The 24,795-nt window shown below is 39.0% G+C and overlaps 1 pseudogene, 3 gene segments (V, D, J or C) and 1 further gene, besides 16 other annotated features; all 5 read right to left on the bottom strand.

Moving 5' to 3' along the window:
• TRA (T cell receptor alpha locus) overlaps positions 1–24,795 on the bottom strand; it is a 930,229-nt gene that overhangs the window by 703,317 nt on the left and 202,117 nt on the right.
• Positions 1,557–1,565: a recombination feature (nonamer).
• Positions 1,566–1,587: a recombination feature (spacer).
• Positions 1,595–2,054, bottom strand: TRAV8-2 (T cell receptor alpha variable 8-2). The segment is given in 2 exon segments: positions 1,595–1,889; positions 2,009–2,054. Coding segments are annotated over 2 exon segments (341 nt in total), but the record flags the coding sequence as incomplete, so codon positions are not given.
• Positions 1,879–1,889: a sequence feature (TRAV8-2 leader sequence).
• Positions 2,009–2,054: a sequence feature (TRAV8-2 leader sequence).
• Positions 7,003–7,011: a recombination feature (nonamer).
• Positions 7,012–7,034: a recombination feature (spacer).
• Positions 7,042–7,573, bottom strand: TRAV12-1 (T cell receptor alpha variable 12-1). The segment is given in 2 exon segments: positions 7,042–7,329; positions 7,525–7,573. Coding segments are annotated over 2 exon segments (337 nt in total), but the record flags the coding sequence as incomplete, so codon positions are not given.
• Positions 7,316–7,329: a sequence feature (TRAV12-1 leader sequence).
• Positions 7,525–7,573: a sequence feature (TRAV12-1 leader sequence).
• Positions 18,706–18,714: a recombination feature (nonamer).
• Positions 18,715–18,737: a recombination feature (spacer).
• TRAV11 (T cell receptor alpha variable 11 (pseudogene)) lies at positions 18,746–19,277 on the bottom strand (annotated as a pseudogene). Its single transcript is given in 2 exon segments — positions 18,746–19,032; positions 19,226–19,277. Coding segments are annotated over 2 exon segments (339 nt in total).
• Positions 19,022–19,032: a sequence feature (TRAV11 leader sequence).
• Positions 19,226–19,277: a sequence feature (TRAV11 leader sequence).
• Positions 22,702–22,710: a recombination feature (nonamer).
• Positions 22,711–22,733: a recombination feature (spacer).
• TRAV10 (T cell receptor alpha variable 10) lies at positions 22,741–23,308 on the bottom strand. The segment is given in 2 exon segments: positions 22,741–23,031; positions 23,257–23,308. Coding segments are annotated over 2 exon segments (343 nt in total), but the record flags the coding sequence as incomplete, so codon positions are not given.
• Positions 23,021–23,031: a sequence feature (TRAV10 leader sequence).
• Positions 23,257–23,308: a sequence feature (TRAV10 leader sequence).

Genomic DNA, 24,795 nt, shown 5'->3' with positions numbered 1-24,795 from the left:
AAGTGATAGAGAAAAGAATAACAAACTTGAAAATAGACCAGTATAGGTTATCTAACCTAACTAATTTTGACTTTGCTCCCCTCAGGAGACATTTGACAAATCTAGATAGAAATTTGGGTGTCACAACATGGGGTATGTAATGCTACAGGGATCTAGTGAGTAGAGGCAGACCTTAAAATCAAGAAAAAAATTGAAAGAAAACAAAATAGAGCTATGGAGAGCTAGTGGGAAAGTGTCCTAAAGTCTAAGTTGTAACTAATGGAGTCCTAGAAGGAGAAGAGAAAGAGATTGCGCCAGAAAACATATTTGAAAGAAGAATGGCCAAAAACTTACCAAATTCAAAGAAAGACAAACTTATGAATTTAAGCCCCAAACAGGAACAAATTAAAGGGAACCACATGTAAACATCATAATTATACTGAGGACAACAAAAGATGATATGATTTTACTTGCGTGTATGTGTGTGTACAAATAGCATATATATGAAGCAGCTAGAGAAAAACAACATATTAATATCATTGGGGAACAATTACTTGAATGACCATAGATTTCTAACCAGAACATGGAGACCAGCAGACAATGAAACAGTATCTTTAAAGTGAGGGGGGAAAATGGTTGGCACAGAATTACAGACCCAGTAAAAATATCTTCCACAAATAAAGGGCAAATTAAGAATAAAGACATCTTCAGATAACAAATGACTAAAAAATACCATTACCAGCAAACCTACTCTAGAAAAAATGTTAAAGGGAGTTTTTTAAGTTTGAAGGGAATGACATCAGTTCAAACACATCTCCTGGTGTCAGAGGAAAACTTACTTTAGAAACAAAGGAAGGATACCAGAGTTAGTAAATAGCTGTTAAATACGAAATATTATTATTCCTAGTGAGTTTTATACGGTCCATACAATTATTTAAAACAAAAATTGTACCATTATATGGTGAGCTTTCCAATATAGGTAGCTTTGATATACATGAACGACTACAACAAACTTCAGTGTTTGTTGAAGAGACAATTATTATTGTATAATAAAGAGACATATTATACAAAAATTTCTACATTTTACATAAAGAGGTACAACATCACAGAAGACCCTGGAGAGTTAGTCATATGTATTATAATCTCCAGAGCAACCACTCAAAAAATATGGAAATATAACCAAAGAAGTCCATAGATTAAAATAGTGTTAAAAATGTTCAAATAATCCAAAAAGTGTCAGCAAAAAAAAAGAACAACAAAAAATAAGGGAGGAACAGAAACACAATAATAACATAGTATACTAAAATCCAATTTCATCAATATACATTAAATTATAATTATCTAAACTAGCCAGTGCAAAACCAGAGATTGACATAGTGGATAGAAAGACCTTATATATAAAGCTACCTAAAGGAAACACACTTTAAATTTAAAGTCATAGATAGTTTAAAAATAAATAGATGAAAAAGATACAGCACACATCAATAAGCATCAGAAACTTGGAATTGCTATTTAATATTATAAAACAGACTTCAAGGTCGAGTTCTTGAGTCACAGAAAGTCTCAGCATCTCAGGAGGCTTGTGTTCAGCTCTCCTGCAGTCTCAAGCACTGTGTCACTCACAACACAGAAGTACTCAGCCGCGTCGCTCATATGGGCTGAGGGTTTCGTCAGGTGGAAGGAGGTTTCACTCTTCTTAAATTCAGCCTCAAAACCGTTGATGCCTTTAACCAGGGTGGCCGCTGATGTGTACTTCAGGAGAAGCTGGAGTCCTTTGTTGGGGTGTTGCACATACCAGAAGAGAGACGGTGAATAAGAAGATGAGTAGTTGCACCTCAGCAGCACCGGGGTTCCTTCAGAGACAGAGACGTGGCTGTCAAGCTGGGTCACCGACTGGGCTCTGGTTCCTCCTGCAACACCAATGCTGTGTAAGCAAAAGCAGCGCTGACTTCGCTAAGAAGTCTACTTAGAGGCAATTACAACACAGTCACATTTACAAAAGGAGGAAAAAGAATGGAATGTTACTCACCCAGGGTAAAAATCACCTCGAGCACTGGGACGAGCAGCAGGAGCATGGCTGAGCAGAGGCAACGCTGCAGGACCCTGAGCAGGGAGGACAGAAGCCAGGGGTCCTGAGCCTCGGGAGCTAGGAGCAATGGGGAGGTTGGGCTGGACAAGTCCCTGGCTTTGAAAAGTTTCCAAAACAGAAAGGCTTTCTCTTAAGGAGTCTGGATGTGTTCTGACCTCTTGCTCTCGTCACAGCTCCCTATCTACACAGACATCAGTGAGCTACATCAGCCAGCTGCAGGGAGGAGGCTCAGTGGATGAGGATGGTCGGCAATGAACACAGATGCCTCCTTAGTGCAACGTCGCCCCCTGGAGGGCACAGGTGGAACCACAGATCCAAGGAAGTGAACTGTTTCCTTCTCATTTGAGAGATGTGATATCAAAACCAACAGAAAGTGTTTCTTTCTTCCCGAATCTGTGATGACGTCATCTTCCGTAGAGTATATGGTTTTAATTTTAAATACATGAGAAATGAGAATTATGTAGAAATAGAAGAGTAATTTACTTCCCTGAGAAATTAGTCACAGAAGACAACGTTGTAGACTTTGGAAAACCATTGAGACACTCTATATTAGTAAAGTCGTTCATCAAGAAGAGGGGTGGTGATCAGTTGTCTCAGTCTGGGCTGAGCTTCATATGGCCCTGTGCAGCTGGATGTGAGCATTACAGTGGGTGAAAGAGATTATTCCTTTAGTTGACTCTTTAAAAAATAAATTAGATCAGAGACTCATACTTAAAGTCAGCCTGGATCACATATCATTAATTAATCAAAGCAAACGATTAAAGGCAAGAATTTTCTTTGTCAAGTGGAAAGTGTGGAAAAGACTTCCTAATTTCAGGTCAACAAGTTTAATATTTGTGAACCTAGGAGAAAATAATTTAGATAACTTATATTTAAAAAGAGAAAGTGAGAGTACTATTCCAACTGTCAGTGTTCAGAATAGACTGATATATTGTGCCAAATTATGAGAATCTGCCACTAAAAAAAATTAATGCAGTTTTTCTATCTCCACAATTAAGTTTCTCCATCTATAAAGAAACTTGAACAGAATGATAAATGGAAGAAAATATAACATATAAATAAGTGATTATCAAAATAGTTAAAGAGATTTTTAAAAAGTAAACCTACATGAACTCAATACAGGTGGAAGGAGTGCAAGCAGCAGACCAGAAATGAGAGGAACCTGTGAGAGGTGTAGAAATGGTGAGAGATATTGACGGTGACGCTCAACAGAGCAAAGCAAACAGCAGTGCCATGTGGGTGGGAGACAATAGCGAACAAGAACAGACTGCTCTGTGCCCCAATAATAAAATGAAGCTTTTGAGCAAAAAGCCTTCCCCACCCAATCTATTGTAGCATAGAGATCATTGGATCCTAAAAATGAAATAACCCAGTAAGGAGAAAAATCTCAGGTAAAATGGGATTTTACAAGGTCAGAACAAAAACTGCTTTCTGAATACTCCATTGAATTGTACCAGCCTGAAATCAGTTTTCCCTTGGGCTTCTGATCTAGTTCTTGATTCTGCCTATAAATTTTTTATCACATGTAAGACAAAATTATATAGTCAGCTTAAAAATTTAAATGTTACTAGGGTGGGGTTCTGAAACAAAACTTCAAACTAAACATATTTGCTGTCCTCTTAACTCTCTAAAATTCCCACTGAAATGAAATGTAAAATTATAAACAGAATGACCTGAATCCATCAATAATAAAACTAATAAAAAGATGAAAGTTATCACAATTCCCATGAGGTAGATAAAAAGTGGATGCAAATACACTGATGGAGAAAACAGAGAGGGAAAAAGTCCAGGCCAGAATGAACTGTGAGAAGATTACAGTGGAAACGTGAGTGAAGGGAACCTACTGGGTGGGACCCTGGAGAGGTTCTGGGCTGAGAAAGAGAGCAGGTGATGAAGGGTGAGAGGAACAGAACACAAGAGAACGTAGTGAAGGTCCACATGTGGAATGGCTGCACTAGCCTCTCTCTGTTCTCACCAACCTGCTTCTGTATTTGTGTGTGAGAAGCATATGAAGCCAACTTGGGGCATGTAATCTTCATGAGAGTTTACTTGAGCCATCTGGGATGGTTTCAGTTTTTATTATGAGTAATTAATATAATTAGGCCATTTCCAATGATATTAGGTTCAGGGAACAAAGAGAAGCACCTTAATTACCAGTTCCCTCCTCATTCATCCTAGAAAGAAGCCTGTCAATTCACATGACAGACCCACATACCCACACTACTGGCCAGGCACCCCATTCAAGAAGAAACTTTGTGGGGAACATGGACACAAAGACATAAGGAGTCCATCCTGCTACCCAGTCCTTCATTCTTAAATACAAATTAATAACAAAATAGCATTAATCATGTATAAATATAGATGGTATCTCTGTCTACACATAGAAGCCCAGAGTTATGAACTGTAAATCATCAGAATCATTGCTACCTGGATAGAAAGTGATGGATAGAATGTTATCTCATCATTCCCAAAAGCAACTAAGATAGTAGACTGGTTCTCTGGTCACTACTCTTTTAAAAATTTCTGAATTTTAGCTTTGAAAAAATTTTTCCTTTCATCTGCTTTTTATGTTTACTTAGATGGTTTCTGTTAACAAGTGCTTTAACTTACATTATTTCAACTCCTCAAAATTGGTAAGGCCAGCTGTATAAACACCTTCAAAAGGAGAGTGAAATTAAAATTCAGAATATGATTAAAGTTTATTATTTCTTGAATGCTGCCCACATACCAGGCAAGTTCCCTGGTAATAACGAACACTGCTGGCCCCCAGCCTAGATCTCCTTTCCCAGGACAGTGTAGCCATCCCCCGCTACTGTGAGTGTTGGCTACTCTTGGCTCACATTTGCCCCTTTCCCTAGAAAGTTGACCTCTGCCAATGAGAGCCACCATTGTCCAGTAGCATATACCTCTACCCCAAGAAACACTGCAGCCAATTATGACTTTATTCTTACCCACAATAGGTCAGAGCAGTCTGGCTCCCTTGCCTCAGCGTGGGAGGGATCACCCCTGTGATGTAGTTCACTCTCCAGAGCTCCCTATGAGGTCAGGTGGGATCAAGACTCCCACTGGACCAAGTCCATGCTTAGCCTTTCCCCCTGTCTCAACCTGGTTTCCTCAATCAATTACAGAGAAAGATTCCAACTGCAGTCTCTACTTTTAAGGAACTCATCCCAAAGCAGTATGTTATCTCATTTAATACTGAAACAAATCCTGAAATATATATAGTATGTAGCCTAATAAATGGACCATTAGTAACATAAATATTCAAACAGAAAACACAACCCAGGTTCTTTCCAGAATGCCAGGAAGCCAAAAGGTATAAAACAAATGTGGAAGTAAAATTTAAGGGTCTTGATTCTGGCGCAACTTTCTGCTCTTCCTTACTGCCTTTCAAATCTTTCTTCCAAGGCTTGGAAAGATTTATTCAGTCTTTCATTCTTCAGATTAAGAATTTGAAGCAAATTTGGATTGAGTTCATCCTTTTCATCAGTGACTATGGGAACAACCCTTGACAGAAATCTTAACTCTCCATTTCTAAACTTTCCCACTTTGAGGACTACATAAACTATATCATGTCCAACAGACTACAACTTCACTTTTATAATAAAGTGATGTTCAAAGTTTTTTCCTGTAATTCAACTTAATAGCTACTAAAAAGTATTCTTTTCATCAGGCACAAATATTTTGCCCGAACATAGTATATATTGCAGGGCAAATATGTATTGCTAGGTAGTCAGAGGAGGGAGGCATTTATATGCTCTTCAGTGTTTCCAACTCTCCTCCAACATTTGCTGAAATATGCTCAATACCATACGGTCTCTGGTCACTGATTTAAACAGGTCTTTGTTCATCACAACAAAGCCTCTTGGTGTCTAGACTTCTTTTAGATACTTAGAGATCCTTCTCAATAAATTTTAAGTCATTCCAGCAGGTGCTGTGGGTATATGACATGCTGTGACTAGAGCTAAGACTCCCTACCATCTCCAAGCCACACTCAGTTACATAGAAATCAATATACTCTTCCACAAGGTTTTGAGTTCAATTCAGACTTTACCCCAAAATGGCAATATAGACCCTCTCTAATCTTCAATCTCTGCAAATATCTAGGCTTTTTTTTAACGTGTTCTCACCCTCTCCCTCTAGTTCTGCCATCTACTCATCAAATGTGCCCTTATATAACTCAGGAGTGGAGCTGCAGCTAAGGCTGGAGATGGGGTGAGGGTTCTATAACTAAAAGAATTTATGACTTACAGGATTTTCACAGTAGTTTGCTGATCTTTTTTATTTTGCATTTGTGTTTTTCTGTTGCATTCCTAAAGCAACGTCTATCAAACTTCTTGGGTAACTAAATGGGGAAAGAATAAGATGTCCTACAGACAGAGACAGAATATCTGTTATTGTATGAAAATGTTTTCTTGATATAAATAAAAGGAATCATAAAACCGATCTAATAAAGCATAGATGTGGCATAAAACTAGAGTGAGCATTAAAATGTATACATTATGTGATATAGGCACCTTGCTGTATATCAATCATACCTAAATTTTTTAAAAAAGGAGGGAGGAAGTAAACTTTTAGAGATGATGGATATGCTTATGGCATAGATTGTGATGTATGTATGAAATGAATATGTAAACCTTCTGGTTTGTCAATGATCTCAAAAAAATTTATTTTTTTAATCTCTCCAGAAGAAATATAAAAAATATTTTAAAACTAAAGTAGAAAGAGAATACTGGAAAATATTTTAACCAGACCAAGACTGTATCTTTCATTTTTCTTCAGGGTCTCAATTATTTTCAGAATTATAATAATACTTCCCTAATCAATCAGTCCTCCATACTAGTACTCTTAATTTCCACTTGAATCTAGAGAGCAAAGAGGACTTTACTGCCCTGCAGTCTAAGCTCTACATCAGGCATTCCTGGGGCCCAGCAGGTTTGGGTACAGACTGCAGGTGTCTGGGGAGCACTGTGTGTTCACCACACAGAGGTAGGTGGCTGAATCACTGAGCTTGGAGTCTCTGATGAGCAGGGAAATATACTGGCTGGCTCTATTGAGCTGTGCTGTAAACCTTCCATCTTCATTACCACTGGAGTATACGGACATCAGCAACTTAGGTTCTTTCCTGCAATCCTGTCTGTACCAGAAGAAAGACTGAGAAGCACTGTTGCTGTAAGTACAGTTGAAAGCGACAGTGGCTCCCTCTGGAACATTGAAGGGTCCAGGATCCTGCTCCACCTCCTTCCGTTGGCTCCAAACCCCTGTGAAAAAGACAGTGGTCAGACAGAGAAGACAAATTGGGAGGTAAATGCTTACTCCCCAGAATTCAAATCATGTTTTTACAGGCTTTCTACTCTCTTAGTTAGAGAAAAAATTCAGGCTTCTAGCCCCCAGCCTAGGATAGACAATATCTCAAAATATTGTACATTATGTTCCTATAGAGATGCCCAACTCACAGCTTAACTGAAGCCACAGGATCACCAGTAAAACTCTCAAGGATATCATCATTCTTTTCTGCCCTGGTTCACTGAGGATTAAAATTTTCAATCCAAAAAGAAATGAACATAGCAGAGATACTTTATTTCTTCCACTTTAGGAATCGTAAAAAGAATCTGTCCTACCAATTAGAAAAAAGAGGTTATTTTCACAACCCCTGGTATATCACTAACCCCTCCTCTTATCGCCCTTCCCATTCTCTCTCTTTCTCTCCTTCTCTCTCTCTCAAGCACACACACACACACACAGACACACACACACACGAGCACTTGAGAGCTTTCCTCAGGGTCCCTAAGAACACACTGCCATCTTGTGGAATCATGATAGTAATCAAAGACGTACTCAAGATGTAGACCTGTATTATGTGAACAGGTAAATGTAAAAATCTGACATATTAGTTAAATTAAAAATTTGAGAAGCAAATGCTCCAAGTCAATGTCTGTGGGGGATGTTTATGCATGCATGTGTTTGATATCAAATGGCAACTCTTGTATGAGTAAGAGGAATTATTTCTAATAGCCACTTTCCTGCACACAACAATCAGTCATGAAGCATTCTATTCCAAAACTTTGAGTGAGATTCTTGCAATTTAAGGAGCATTTCACATTACGTAGCTCTTCTCCATGTCAGGCCATACATCCCCATAGCATTCTGTTATCTCCAATTTTTAAAGAAATTTCCTATAATTCAAAAGAATTCTTTCAAAATAGAATGACCTAAAATCTAGATAAAGAAATATGATTTGAGCTCACAGCCTGGCCAACATTTTTTAACAAAGCCAAGGACTGGAGCTTGGAATTCGTCATTCTGTCTTACACCAATGACATGTGCATGTCATGTCAAAACAGTATTTGTTTGGGCTGTTGCAAAAGAGATGGACCTACCTTCACTATCTAGACTTTTATATGTCTGTTCATTTGTCTAATTCCTCTTATTTCTTTTCTTGTTTTAAGTTTATATCTAGGAATAAATCTCCAAAATTTATGAATTTGGTCTTTCTCTTTGCCTTTTCATCCTAACCTAAAAAGCAAACCAGATCTATGGAGGGTTAACTATGCAAGAAACTTAACTGGGTCTACAGAGTAACAAGCACAACAACCACTGTTCCTCCTCTAGTCCATAATCTGCTCTGTGTCCTTGAAGAAGCTGGTGGCTGTAGGCCAGCAATGATGCAGGCTCTTTTCTACTCAAGAGCCTTGTAATCAGTATACATCAATGATGGCCTGGGCAGGCCCTTCCCATTCCCACCAACAACTGCATAGGAAATAGAATGAAGAATAACATGCTGATATTGAAATCCCTTTTTCCAGGAATACATTGCACATGACAGAAATTACAACAGCCACTTCTCAGTAAGTGTAAAAACCAAAGGAAGAGTGACAGCAACCCAAGAATGCAGCCACTACATTCTTGGAAAATTTATAAAAAACAAATATAACATCTAAAATTGAATGGGGACCTGAAGCACAGTCCTTTCAGGAAGAAATCACCTTTTTAACATTTGTAACAAAAATAGTATGGGTGAATAGATATAATGTTGTGGTGGACCTAAGAGCGTTATCAATGCTAGCAAAGTGACATTTAAAAAAAAAATTTATTTTAAAGTAAAAAAAAAATGACAGAATTTATATGTCAAAGTTGTACTGCAAAGCTTCTGTGCCTACTGATGTCTAAATAACATATAAAAGTCCTTCATATGCCTTAAGGACAGTGTTATGGCAACTAGTCAAAGAGAAATCATAGTCCCCTTCCCCGTTGGATTAAGCAGTCTTCATCTTCCAAAGCATAAAATTTTCTAGATATGCCTTGTGGACATCAAAGTATTGAAAGCAAGATCTCATTCAAAGGCAATTTATCTTAAGATACTACTGTAAATGCTACTAATTTTGTGTCTATTTGAAATACATAAGTTGTGCTGTTAAAAATTACAACGGCGACAAAGGAAATTTTTATACACATGGAAAAACACACTTTGACTCATTGTGTTCTCATTATACACAATGAGATTATTCTGTATAATTTTCCACAATATAATTATAATTATTGTTTATGTATTAGTTTGTTAAATAAGTTAGGGAAAAAATGGGAGTTACAAACAAAAACTACAAAAATATTGGCTTTATTCTTATCTATGTAACTACCTTTACCATTGTTCATTATTTTTGCATGGCTCCAAGTTGCTGTCTAGTGCCATTTCTTTTCTGCCTGAAAGATTCCCTTTAGATTTTCTTGTAGGGCAAATCTGCAAGTGATGAATACTCTGAGTTTTTGTTTATCTGGAACTGTCTTAATTTCTCCTTTGTTTTAGAACAATAGTTTTGCCTGATACAAAATAGTTGGTTGACATTTTTTTTTCTTTAAACACTTTAAATATGCCATCCCACTGCCTTCTGGCTTCTATGGTTTCTGATAAACAATAGACTGCTAATCTTTGGAAGATCTCTTCCATGTGATTAATCACTTATCTCTTGCAGCTTTCAAGATTCTCCATTTGTCTTTTTCTTTAAACAGTTTGATTATAATGTGTCCCAATGAGATTTTTTTTTTTTTGCCTTTTTTCTACTTGGTCTTTGTTGAACTTCTTGGATGTATAGGTTCATGTCTTCCAACAAATTTGGGAAGCTTGGAGTCATGATTTTTACAAATATTCTCCCTGCTTTTTCCTTTCCTCTCACTCTGGAAATCCTGTTATCCTTATGGCTGTACTTTTTATAATGTCCCGCAGGTCTATTAAGCTCTCTTCAATTTTTTTCCCTTCCGCTTCTTAGACTGAATAATTTCAATTGGCCTATCTTCACATTTGCAGATTCTTTCTCCTTCCTGCTACTGAGTCCCTTTATCAATTTTTTTTTAAAATTTCCTCTGCATAGCCACTTCTTCTCCACTCTGAGAGGGTTTTGAGTTATATGAATACAGGAAAGCCCTTTGAATTAGCCCTTCAGAAAACCACCTGACAGGTCAACATAGTCAGGCACTATTCTTTGATAACGGGTCTACTCTGCTTCCTCCAGCCCCAGACACCCACACTGGGAATGCCGGATGCCATTTAAAGACTATTTTCAAGCCAGTGATGGAAAGATGGAGCAAAAGAAAGTTACACTATCACAAATCTCTCCTGCTACGTTGCAGTTAACTTTTTGTTGATTAAATGTATGCTTGGTTGCTATAAAACTTTTTGTGGTCTTTGGCTAGAGTAGAATGGTTATGGTCTTATAGTTTCTGCCTTCATAGTCAATCCTTTCCCTGGTCCTTTGGCTACAGAAAACGGCATTTCTTTGGGATTTCTTTTCTGTACCCACCGGCATTACCAGGTTACTGGCTACTCCTGGATGCCACTGGTTTGTATGAGGCAAAAGGAAACTCATGAAACTCACTGTTCTAGCATTGTTCAGGTCCTAAATTTCTTAGACAATCTGGCTTTTTCTCTCTATCTTTTAGAAACTTTTTATCTTTTGATTTTATATACAAATGGTCCCTAACTTAATGATGACTTGACTTATGATTTTTTTCATGGTGCAAAAGCAATACCCAATCAGAACAAACTGCACTTTGTGTACCAATACAACCTTTCTATTATTCTCTTTGGGTACTTTATTCAATAAACTAGATGAGATACTCAACACTTTGTTATAAAATAGGCTTTGTGTTAGATGATTTTGCCCAACCATAGGCTAATGTAAGTGTTCTGAGCATGATTAACATAGGATAGGAAATCTTATGATGTCCAGTATATAAGATGTATTAAATGCATTTTATACCTATGGTATTTTAAACTACAATCAGTTTACTGGGAAGTAATCTCATTTCAATTCAAGGAACATCTATAATGTCCAGAATTTTTAGCTGTATCTAACAGTAATAGAAAAAAGTACACCTCCTCTAACATTCTAGAAGTGAAAGGCATGATGCTTCTTTCTTTCTCCGAACAGCGACCTTAGAACAGCCTGGTTGGTACACTCTCCAGGCAGCAACATTGTCAGAATGGTATTAATATTGAATTCCAGTTCAGCCACCTATATTCTTTTCTTGGTTAAACATGATTTTACATCATGAGGATAACCAGCATTTATTTGAGTGCACAGCTTTACAAGTTCCCGTTCAGTTTTCCAGGAAGGCCAAGGTGGTAATTATGATGAATCTCTGTAAATGTCATACAAATGCCTGTTCCTCTTTCTATTTGTTCTAGGCAAATGATTTTGGTGTGACTAGGAACTGACTACAAAAAAAAGGCAAAGTTATAGCTACTAGAATGGGATGAACCGATTTTGTGATGGTGGACAAAGAGCAATAACACTGGCACCTAGGAAGGGAAAATCTTAGACCGGGAGGTGGAGGAGCGGAGAATTAATTCACTCTTTGTATTCTAGGTCAAGCACCACAGCCTAGCAAGACAATTATATGGTCTGCTGGAGCCAAGCGGCAGCTGCAGCTGGCTATCCAATCTGCTCTTGGTTTGTCATCTTCTTCCACATTCCTTGAAATAGTAAAACTCCTGTGAATATGGCCTGTCCTGAAAATTTCTGCAATACATACATCAATAGCAGCTTCCCAACATAGATTCTTCATCCTTGTCTGTGTACAAACATAGAAATCAGTACAACTTTGTCTCAATCTGACTCATACAAATGTATATGCTTCTCCTGATGTCTGAAAAGTCTTGGGTTATGCCATGAATGGCTACAGAGGTTGCAAATACTCAATGGCACTGCTCATATAGCTTAACAAAAGTGATGGCAGCAGCGGGCCATCTGGAGTGGCCACTACTATCACAGCAGGGAGGCATGGCTGGGGCTGCATACTCCATGGAACCAGGGACAAGCAGGAGCCCTGCCCCTTCTGAGTTGGAGCAGGAGCTCCCCAGGTGCCCTGCAGCTGCCCAAGCCACAGCTTCAGGGGCATCACTGTCTTCTCTGCCCAGGAGCAGGAGGGAACCCTGCCCTTCCAGGCACAGCTGCAGCTTCCCAAGTCGTGACTGCAGACCTAGGCCTCCCTATGCTCTTGGGGAAACCAGGAGCAGGCAGGAGCCCCACCCTTCTCAGTGAAGCTGCAGCCACCCAAGTCAAGGCTGCAAACCCAGGACTTCTGCTCCATGGGGCAGGCAGGAGCATTGCCCCCTCAACCTCCCTCTGTGGGCAGCTACAGCTTCCCAAACTGCAGCTGTGGACCGAGGCTTCTCTGTACTCTTGAGGGCCTGGGAAGCCCTCCCTGCCTTCACAGGCTCAGAAGTACCCACTCTCACTGCCTGGCTTCTCCTTGTTGTCAGCATCCACTCTGATCTCAGAGCAAAGTTGAGGCCAAGCCCAGGCACTGTTGCAGCACAGTAGAGTGTGCACACACTAGGGGAAGTGTTCACACACCAGCCCTCTGCCACCTTGACACCCTCCAGATTTTGGGCACTGACAAGCATAAGAGGGAAGCCAAGGGGGCACTGGCCTGAAGGCACTCCTTGGCACCTACCATCTGGGCACTAAGAATGACAGTAGGAGGCAGACAGGTTTCTGGGTGGAAGTGGTGGGTCCCCAGTGAGGTCACACCTTCAGGCCAAGGAGGGCCTGAAGGCTGGGTGTCAGGCTGCCAGTCCCACAGACTGGAATGGGAACTTGTGGTGCCTTTTCTGGGCCTGCCCATGGCTGCCCATGGATAAATTGGGCATGCACTTCCTCCCTTCTGAGGCCCATAAAAGCCCCAGGCTCAGCCAGAGCTGAGCAGACCTCAGGATGACCAGCAGCAGAAAGGAGCTAACCACTACAAGCCTTCCTCTCTATTGAGAGCTGCAGACACTGGGACAACCAGCTGCAGAGAGGAGCTACCCACCCCAGGGCCTCCTCTGTGCTGAGAGCTACAGAGACAACAGGACAGCCTGCCTGCAGAGAGGAGTTTCCCACTCCAGGGTCTCCTCTCTGCTACGAGCTGAACACTCATTGGAACACCCTAGCTGTGGAAAGAAGCTACCCAATGCAGGTCTCCTCTGAGCTGTTCTATCACTTAATAAAGCTCTACTTCATCTTGCTCACCCTCCACTTGACTGTGTACCTCATTCTTCCTGGTTGCAGGACAAGAACTTGGAACCCATCAAATGGTGGGGCTAAAAGAGCTGTTCCACAAACAGGGCTGAAACATGTCCCGTGTTTGCCACATTGTGGGTAAAAAAAAGGAGAGAAGTGCTGTGGCCCTGTGGGAAGCCCAGACCTGAGAGCTCCCCAAGTCAGGGCTATGACCCCCCTCTTTGGGACCCTATGGTTCCTGGCATCTCCAAGCTTTTGAGTGCCACCGTGTTCCCCAGTGCCAGCAGTCAATGCTGCTTGCAGTGCAACTGGTCTAGCCTCAGTCTTGTAGACAGCTGGCACCCATGCCAGCACTGCCCACCTCACTGCAGCAGCCAGCATGTCTGACTGTGCAGTGGCAAGACCCCACACTTCCTCACACATCCCTTACTGCTCCATGCCTGACTCGCCCTTGGCAAGCATAAGATCCAGGCCGGTAGCATGAGCTGAGCATAGTCTTCCAGGCCAAGTAAGTGGAATGAGTCCAGGGGGCCCATGCAAAACTTGAGTAAAGGCACCACCAACCACAGAGGTTTCTGGTCAGAAAAGCAACACCCCAAGGATCCTACAACAAAAGTGATGTAATGCTGATCCAAATCAAGTTTAACAATAAATTCCAAACTGGATTAACCTGTTGGGTTATGCTTATGTCTGGGAATAGGTGGGACAGAACATCTTTCCATTAGGAATGGTGGCTACTTTTTGGACTCTTTTTGAGAATTAAAACAAAGATTAGCGTATCAATCTAAACTTCCATGTATAATGGATAAGAAATTATATCCTAGTTATCTATACTTTGGGACTTTGTCACAGCTGACTAAATGGGTGAAGTTAATGTTGCAGATTGGTCTGCTGATAGTAGCCTTATTTAAACATTGTTTGAGGCAAATTCAATGTATTTAGTCTCGGAATCTCTGTCTGTCAAATTGATCAGAACGGCTTCTGGAGTGGCACACTCATGAGAAAAGTTTCTAGAAAATAACACAATGTAAGAATATGGAGTGGATATTGTTGAAAACCAGACCATCCTTAATCTCTTATACTCATAAATGTCTTGCTAGGTATGCCAGTGGTTTACGACCATGACCACTCTACCTGACCAATTTCCAGAGTTATGCTTGCAGCAAGAAACCTTGAGGGGTGAGGTACTGTTTCCCTCTGAGACAAAGAGCAATTTGGTTTACTCCTTACTATAAAAGCAGTGAATTCTCCGAGCTCAAAGTTCCTCAGTTATGACACAGTACCACTTCAAACAAAGTATTCGTCAGCATACATATCATCTTTTTTAGATTTAAGGGAAAGAACGACTGAAGTGAATATAACAATGTTTATGCTGTTTGCTGTGTCATGAGTAACAAAATCCTTTGTCTCTAAGTAGTTTCATATATTTACTGTAGCCTCAATCAAACAAGATTAGTAACTTGTAGGAAGGGAAAACATCCAAAACCTGACAAATCCCTCCTCTCCATTATAGTAAAGACTAAAGACTTGAATTACCTTTTTTTTTTTTTTTAAGACAGAAGAGGTTTCACTATATTGCCCAGGTTGGACTTGAACTCCCGGGCTCAAGGGATCCTCCCACCTCAGCTTCCTGAGTACCTGGGACTGCAGGCACACATCACCACACTTGGTTTGAATTACTTTTGACAACAATAAATTTCCCAAAACTGGTCTTGAATGAAACTTTTTTGAAGGATAAAATGTATAGCCCCATATGGGAATTAACTATCATACCTGATCAAATATTTGATCAATTTTCTGATATTCTTTACTAAAATAAAGACTCATTCTGAGATATTAGTGTTATAATCTCAGATGACTATTAATCTCATGATGAGTCTAACAACCACTACACAGAGTACAGTCATTATGAACCAATAATAATTTGACCATAATAATTATCTTTAAATTGACTTTAAAAAAAAACCTAGTTTCTATAAAATGTCTCTACTTAGTCCAATTATTTGAATGTGTTTCCTGATGCAATTTTTCTCTTGCAATAATTTGAGATTAAACTTTGACATGTGCTTATCATTTATTTGATTTGGGAAGTTGATTTCATACTTTCCAACATCTTTTAAGTATACCTTTTTTTTCTTTCAGATGTTTTACTGTGGGATTATGTTTAGAGTTTGCTCGGTTCATTCAGATTACACCTGATGTCAATTGAGTGAGGACAGATTGAGACCCTGAGTTGATCTAGTTATTTGACAGAGTTCACTGAGCATAGGAAGGCCTGGTCCGGAGACAAGGGGTAAGTGCCAGCATTAAAGAACTCTACCAGATATCTGAGCAGGGAGCACATACACGAAGTTCAGATTTGCTAGGATGGGAGTGAGAAGAAAGCGAAAGGAAAAAAGAACGCAAGGCCAAGCAACATTCATTTATTCATTCTGTATATAGTTCTTTTTTATTTTATTTTATTTTATTTTTTAAGAGATGAGGTCTTGCTTTGTCACCCAGAGCTGAAGTGCAGTGGCACCATCATAGCTCACTGCAGCCTCCAACTCTTGGGCTCAAGATATCCTTCTGTCTGAACGTCTTGAGTAGCTAGGACTGCAGGCGCATGCCACCACACTCATTTAATATTTTATTTTTGTTTTTTGTAGAGATGAGGGTCTCACTATGTTGCCTAGGCTGGTCCTTAACTCCTGACCTCAACTGATCCTTCCACCTCGGCCTCCCAAAGTACTGGAATTACAAACATGAGCCACCACGCCCAGCCACATGCAGAAGATATTTTTTCACTGACTATTATGGGGCAGTCACTAAAGGTAGGCACTAAAGTTAAAGGTGTGATTAAACAAACAATATCCCTGACCTCATAGAAGTTGTATCCTAATTGGAAGTTTAGGCAATGAACACATTGGCATGTAAATCAACATTATAACTAGATGTTATGATTATTACCATAAGGGAAATAACTAGGGTTTTGTGATAAAGCTGTGGGGAGAGCCATGGATGGCTACGTTAGTCACGAAGATCAACAGAAGTCAGAAGTCTTTATCTATATAGTGTGTACTTGAGCTGAGATCTGAAATGTGAAAATGAATTGGGCTTGCCCATATTTGGAGGAAGAGCATTTCAAATGGACGAGTTTGACTAAATGTGGAAAAGAACATGGCAAGTTCAGAATACTGAAAGGAGAATAGTGTTATTGCTACATAGAGAGCTAGGAGAGTTAAAAGGGGAGATTGAAAAGGAGGTTCACATGATACATATCTTTGTGTAGCACAGCCTGAAATTTGCATTTTTATTCTAGAAGCAATAGAAAGCCATTGAAGCATTTTTGGGCTAGTAGAGACAGCTTTTACTTTATATTGTAAAAAATCATTCTGGCACCCCATGAAAGGGGTGCTTCTCAAACTTTGAAGGATAGAATGACACGGTTGGTCTGTTAAAATGCAGATTCAAATTCAGTCAGCCTGAGATTCCGCACAAGTTCAGATAGTGCTGGTCCACACTTACAGTAGGAACGACGTGGAGAATAGATAGCCTTGAAAGGAAAGAGAACATTGGAAGGTAAATGGGACCATGAGAGTGTTTTTCAAAGTTCTTCTTTAACATATCTTATTGTATGAAGATACTTATGTTGTGTGAAACACTCTTACTCTGTATGTTTTCTAATCCTGTTTCATTTATTTTTAATAACAAATGTATAACTTCATAGAGTAAAAGAGTCAAAACATTTAAAAATTTTACTTGGCAAAGTGGAAACTTCTTTCAAGTAATAATGTTCATAACAGGTAAAGAAAGTATGGAAAACAAAAAGCATTACATGCTATTGTTGGAATCACAATTTGGTGAAAAATTTCTTCCTGAAAATTAGATATGCAGTGTTATGTGTTTTCCCTTATTCACCCAACTCCATTCTGTGAAAGCTGTGACTTGAATGATGTTAATAAAAACATTGTCTATAATACTGGATAATTAGAAATATTATCAAAAGGTGATTCACTTTTTAAAAAATATATAATGAAAACTAGACAGTCATTTAAAATTATATCCTCAATATAAGATCCCTGGCATGGAAATATCTATAATGTTGAGAGAAGCAAGCACATTAATAAATACTGGGGACATTATCAGCCCCATTCATAGAGAAATGTAGTTGTATATGTATACAAGAAAATTTGAAAAATAAATACTTGTTATTTCTAGGCGATGAAGTTATGAGAATGCTCTACTTTGATAGGTAGTCGTATCTTCTAATTTACCTAGGTTGAACATACACAATTAAATAAAACTTTTAATTTAATTTAAATGTAAAACACGCAACTCTTTTCTTCAAACTTTAGATCCTGCTTTGCATCATTGGTGGAAGAAGCAACTGACAAGGGATCATAAAGCCTAGACTCTTTTTATAGCTTTCATTTTACTGTAAGTCGTGCTTGAGTAAATGATACCATACTTGTGGATCTCAATTCTTTCATTTATGAAATGAGGGGTATGGGCTGGATCAGTATTTCTTAAAGTGTGATTGATACAAGAGGTCCTATTAGGCAGTATACAGACAGCCTTTTCAATTGTTACATATATGATGCTATTTTAATTTATATTGGGAAAAATATAAGCAGCACTTTAAATATATTATTTATATCATATACATGGTTTCACAGATGGTATCTGGTAAAATGAAGACAATTTTACAGTTATTTTTAAAGTCTATTTAACATAAACATCAATTTAATATTAAATTAAGTAAATAATGGTATAGATGGTACAAAAACATCATGAAGATATGATCAAATGGGTAAAATGTTCCTGATGAGGGTATAGCCTGGAGAAAACTTGCTTCATGGACTCAGAGCCTGCACCACAAAGGGGTCTTTCCTCTTAAAGAGTAAAGCAGTGGAAGGAATCTGTGGGCAAACAGGCTCAGAATCTGTACAAACTGCATCAAGGAATGAAATTTAAATAATAACAAAAGGAAATTTAATTTAATATAAATTCAGTTTCATTACATAAGAAAGATACATTATCCTTCACTTCTATTTTGGAGATGCGGGTCATAAAGAAAGTTCCCTCTATACAAAAAAAAAAAAAAATCTTCACTCCCACCTGCAAGGCTAGCCTGTGTCAAGGGTCCCGGCTGCAGGTTATGGTACAGGCTGCAGGTGCTGGGGAGACACTACTGCAAAGCACAGAAGTAGGTGGCTGAATCTCCCAGATGAGAGGCTGCGATATTCCAAACACTATAAAATTTTTCTTTTCCAAGCAGTTCTTTAAAATATTTGTCTCCCTGCTCCTTCTGGCTTGATTGAATTAAGGTCAAAGACACAAGTCTTCTCCCCGGATCCTGCCGGAACCAGTGGAAATTGAAGAGTGTTCTCTCCTGATAAGTACAATTAAGAACGGCATGCATTCCCTCCTGAATATTCAGGAATGAAGGACTCTGCTCCAGTGTATGTAGTCTATTCACCCCTGTTTAAACAGAGAACCACAGACAGAGGACATTCATTCACGGAAATTCATTCATTTGGAAGATATACTCTCTTTTCACAGCCCCCACAGGTGAGCACTGAGACCCTAACCACCCTTCTATAACTTCCAGACTTATAAAGAAGAAACTACAATCTGCTCTTTTTTATGATATTTCCAGAGCCCAGCAACTCACAGCACAGCTGCCAGGAGGAAATCAAGAATGAAACTCCCAAGGGCTTCTCCGTTTTTATCACTTAGACTCAGTGAGGTCTCTGGCTGGGGTCTGGGAGCCCTCAAACACTATCAAGCCAAATCTCTGGTTTCTCTGAGTTAACATTCATAGTTCTTTGTTGCAGGAAGCTGAAAGTCTCCCCAACCAGCCAGAAACAAGATTTACTCCCCGGTGCACAGATCACACAGCTCCTCCTGATCTCTGAAGAGGTAGCATGGAAAAGGACCCTGGCAGAACCAGGTGCTGATTCTCAGTCAGCTGCATCTAGCATTTGTCCCTTAGATTTTTCTCTTTCCTTTTTTCTTCTGTAATACTTCCTGGGCATCTACCATGTATGTACAAGTTATAAATTGAATAACTAAAAAGGATTTCTCCCCCAAACCTAGAAAGGTTACTTTCTCTCCTTTCCAATGCAGAGCTCTGTTAAATGAGCTCCTGGGTATGGATCTAGTTATTGGCACTGTAGGTCAGTATAATGGTGTTATATCGGAGTCCTGCTCCATAAAGCTCATGTGGATTCATCATAGAATTTACATTAAATTACACCGGAAGCAAGAAAGCTTCATTTTCTGTGCAGAAAACCTATGAGATAAAAACAAACAAACAAACAAACAAACAAGAAAGCCAATACTGTCAGTTCAAATAATTGAATGGAATAAGGCCAATGTGAAATAAAGGGTGACTCTCGGCCATAACTGTAGTAAAAGAATATAATCAACAGAAGAAGAGTGGAAAGGCAAACCTTAATCTATACTTAAAGTTTCTTATTGTCTTATTTTAAATTACCTTTGTTTTATCATTTATGTCCAAGAATAACTACCATTAGTTGAAAAATTATTTTCTACCAATGCAATTCAATCATTTAATTAAATTCACTTAACTTAATTCAATCCTTATGACCATGTGATGTACGTGTAATTACCATTGATGGCGCGTAGGTGCTCTGAAGTTATGTAATTTTGTCCAGAGTAATGCAATTTAGTAAGTGATAGATAGAGCATTTCAATGCCTGTGCCTTTTACTCACCATATGAAACCTGCAAACTAAACTAAACTAAAGCAAGCAAGGAAATGCCTATATTGGAATGCAAACTTCCCAAGATATTCCTGTAAAAGAAAGTGAACGCAATAGACAAACATAGACTCAAGCCTCGTAATGGAAGGTCTTTTGTGTCTGCATTTATCTATTTTGTTTATTACCCTACTCCTTCTACCTACAAAAACACCTGTCACTTATTATTTGTTTTTTATTTCGTTTTGTTTTGTTTGAGACAGACTCTCATTCCATCGCCCAGGCTGGAGTGCAGATGTGCAATCACAGCTCACTGCAACCTCCGCCTCCTGGGTTCAAGATATTCTCCTGCCTCAGCCTCCCTAGTAGCTGGGATTACAGGTGCATGCCACCATGCCTGGCTAATTTTTGTATTTTTAGTAGAGACAGGGTTTCTTCATGTTGGCCAGGCTGGTCTCGAATGCCTGACTTCAAGTGATTCGCCCACCTTGGCCTCCCAAAGTGCTGGGATTACAAGCATGAGCCACGGCACCTGGCCTCATTATTTGTTTAATAAATAATTGTGTAATGAACAAATTCAATGTGTGTCTCTCCTTCAAGACCTAACTAAATTTGCTATTCCCCATGATACTTTCTCCTATCTTTTCTGTCCCACAGTAATCTCCTCCTGAGAATACCTTTAAAACTTATTTGTCCACGTACTTGGAATTTTACCTATTGATTCCATTTTCATGTATTTTATCTTTTTCCTCAATTAGTTTATGATTACTCACACAAGTCTGCTGTAGCAGCAATCTGAACTTTAATTTCTTCACTCTAAAGACTTGAAAGGAGATACAGGACAGGAAAAAATATCTGATTACTGAATATATCTAGGTTTACTTTTTGCTCCAGAAGTCAAGGCATTTTGATGTCTTGACACTTGAGCTATCTCCAGACTAGTTACAAAGAACAGTCCAGGTCCTGGCTTCATTTATTCACAAATTATCAATTCACTGAACTTGGAAATGAACTTACTTGCAGTGCTCATAAGCATAACAAATCAATCTTATTCAACAATATCCTGAAATGTGTGATCATCTTTAAATATCAATTCCTGTGAGTTGATAGTGACAGATGAGATGCATTCCTTTAAATTTTTTAAGACATTTGTTATTTTTTAATAATCTTTATTTTGACAGAAGAAAAATCCGAGAACTATAGAAAATTAAAAGTACAGAAGACAAGGAAAGATAAAAAGTAAAAACATTATATTCCCACAATACAAGGATTACCATTTTTAATATCTTAGTATATATTCTTCCCATTTTTTTACAGTTGATATCTGCCTTTTAAATAAGTACTTTTCTCATCTAATTCTCAAATTATATGTACATTTCTCTAATTGTCCCAAAAAGAACTTCACAGCTAAGTTGTGAAAACCAGAGTTCACAATTGCAGGTAGGCATTCTGTCCCTAAGTCTCTTTTCTAGAACACTGATGGTTGAAAAGCCTGGCACAGTTGTTCTGCTGCCTGAGAGTGACTGTGTCTGCCAGGATCCCCTGGCCTTCCAGTGTCCTCTAAAGGAGCAGTGATGGAAGATAATAAAGAGTTGATGCAGCACCTGGACAAAAGCCTTGATCTGGAGCATAGCTAAATGGGAAGAGCAGATTTATTCTCACAGGATGCTTTCTGAGAACTTGAATAGCCATGAAATGACAACTGAATGTCTTTCAGGGGAAGGAAACTTCTCAAGATATTTCCGGCCAGGAGCAGTGGCTCACGCCTGTAATCCCAGCACTTTGGGAGGCCAAGATGGGTGGATCACGAGGTCAGGAGATCGAGACCATCCTGGCTAACACGGTGAAACCCCATCTCTACTAAAAATACAAAAAAATTAGCCGGGCGTGGTGGTGGGCGCCTGTAGTCCCAGCTACTCAGGAGGCTGAAGCAGGAGAATGGCATGAACCCGGGAGGTGGAGCTTGCAGTGAGCCGAAATCACGCCACTGCACTCCAGCCTGGGCGACTGAGTGAGACTCCATCTCAAAAAAAAAAAAAAAAAAAAAAAAAAATTTCCATCAGCCACATAAACTTGTTGCTCTTTCACTTAGTTGACATTCTGCTGGTAGGTGTCCAGATCAAAAACCAAGCTAGTCTCTCCCTTCCAAACAACACTGTCATCTACTTCAGCAATAGTAACACAGCATGACAGACTGTCTTGCCCTTGGGAACACCCAGATGTAGCAATTAACTTTGTGTGTTGAGTGAGAATGTCTTTATCCTCGCTTGAGGACATGTATTCTACTTGAGCCTAAGTAGAACTTTAGGCTCAAGCTCAAATCAAATCATGTCGGAGAGATAAATATTCACTAGTGAAATCATATTCTGCATAAAAAATAACGGTCTACTCTAACTCCTATGCCTCCTTGATAACCTCCAGGTGCAGGTTTGCATACTGGCTTCAAGTGCCTGTGGAGCACAGTGCGCTCACCACACAGATGTAGGAGGCTGAATCGCTGAGCTGGGAGGCTGTGATGTGCAGAGAGCTTTGCTTTGTGTCTGCATCCAGAGTTGCTGTATATCTTCCGTTCGACTTTGTGTTCTCACTGAAAGTCATGATTGTCAGGGAAACAGGACCTCTCCCCGTATCTTGCTTATACCACCTTAAGTTGCTGAAGGGGCTCACTGTATAATTGCATTGAAGAGTGCAGTTCTTTCCCTCCAGGATGATCAGGGACTGAGGACTCTGCTCCACTTGGTTTTTGCCATTCCCCCCTATTCAGAAAGAAAAGTGAGATTCAAGAGATCCATCATCCAGTATTAATACTGTCTAATTTGCATCCCTTCCTTACTCCCCACAATGAATCCCAAGTGAAACAGAAAATGGTCCCATTTTCTCCCTTCCTCCTATCCCAGTGGACTACATCTTCACCCCAAATCCTAAGAAAATATTCCCTTGACTTACTATGTTAACTTTGCTAAAACTCTCCACTAACTTACTATAAAAATAAAGCCACAAAATCACCAAGAAGGTCGTCAGATGCTTTTTCATTTTTATTCTGCAGAGATCTGCTCCCAGAAGTTGACTTGTGTATTCAACATCTTCTCTTTTTTTTTAACACTAACCAAAGGGTTTCTCAGAGGGTATCCCTAGCCAATCAGAGACCAGGCTTCGCTATGTTACACATACTACACATTCAGACCTGCAGGCGGGGCGAATGCAAATACTGCCCTCTTGGGGTCAGAGCTACAATTGCTTAGAACTTTTGATCAAGCTTTTTTCCTCCTATTTGCAGCATGATATAGAGGATAAAGCCCTTCATGTCTATATCAGCACAGTAGATTAGTAATTTAGACATATATTTGAAGCTCTGCATTCTGGCTCTATGTGATATTAAATAGGAGAGTTGAGCCTTAGCTTTCTCATCTGAAAATAGGTATGATAACACTTACCTAACAATTTTTGAAAGATTGAAGAGATGATTCATGTAAAGGCTTATTGTAGTGGCTAACATGAACTTAGCCTTCAACTGAAATATAAGCTCCCTTAGGATAGGGACTTTTATCTGTTCTATTCTCTGCTACATTGTCAGTTGCTAGAATAAGGCCTGTCAATAAATAGGCATATAATAAATTTTTATTGAGGGAATGAATAAATGATAGTTTTGTTCTGGTAATGACAGAGTTATTTTTATTATTCATTTTTAATTCAACAATTATTTTTCAAATGCCTACATTTTCAGGTATGATGATAAGTGCTGAGAATAAGCAAAGTCCCTGCACACAGGGGATGACATTCTAATGAGAGGAAAGACAGAGTATTTGAGCATAGATGCAAGTGACTGGTAAGTGTTGAAGTTTTTGAAAATTCTCTTCTGATTGTTTCTATTTTCTCAGTGAAATAAGAAGCTTATGAACAGTTGAGAGTGTAGATATATGAGGATTTATTTTAAGTTTGAAATTTAAAGCTCAGAGAAGTTGAAAGAATGGAAATAGTTATACAAGAAACAATAAAAAGAAAGTTGGTATATTATAGTTGTATAAGCAAAGTAGGCTTTTGGAAAAGATTTGCTAGAGGTAAAGACCGTGTGATGGCTAATTTTATGCATCCACTGAGATAGGCCCCAGTACCCAGATATTTGGTCCAACATCAGTCTAGATGTCACTGTGAAGGTGTTTTTAGATGAGATTAATATTTGAATCAGTAGACTTTGAGTAATGCAGATTTTCTGCATAATGTGAATGGACCTCATTCAATCAGTTGAAGGTCTTAAGGGAAAAACACTTAGGCTCTCCAAAGAAGAAGAAATTATGCCTCCAGACTTGTCTTCAAACTCAAACTGCAAAATCAGTGATTCCCAGGTTGCCCAGCCTGACGACCTGCCCTGCAGAAGTTGGACTTCCCAGCCCCTAAAATTGTGTGAAACTATTCCTTAAAATAAATCTCTCTATATAGATAGATAGATACAGATATAGATATGTACATATCTCTATCAATACAGATAGATATATACAGAGAGTTGCATGTAGACATCACAG

Source organism: Homo sapiens, chromosome 14, assembly GCF_000001405.40.
Source record: "Homo sapiens chromosome 14, GRCh38.p14 Primary Assembly".
Classification (NCBI taxonomy): Eukaryota; Metazoa; Chordata; class Mammalia; order Primates; family Hominidae; genus Homo; species Homo sapiens.
Note: the sequence above shows the minus strand (reverse complement) of the source record. Positions and strands in the feature narration are given on the sequence as shown.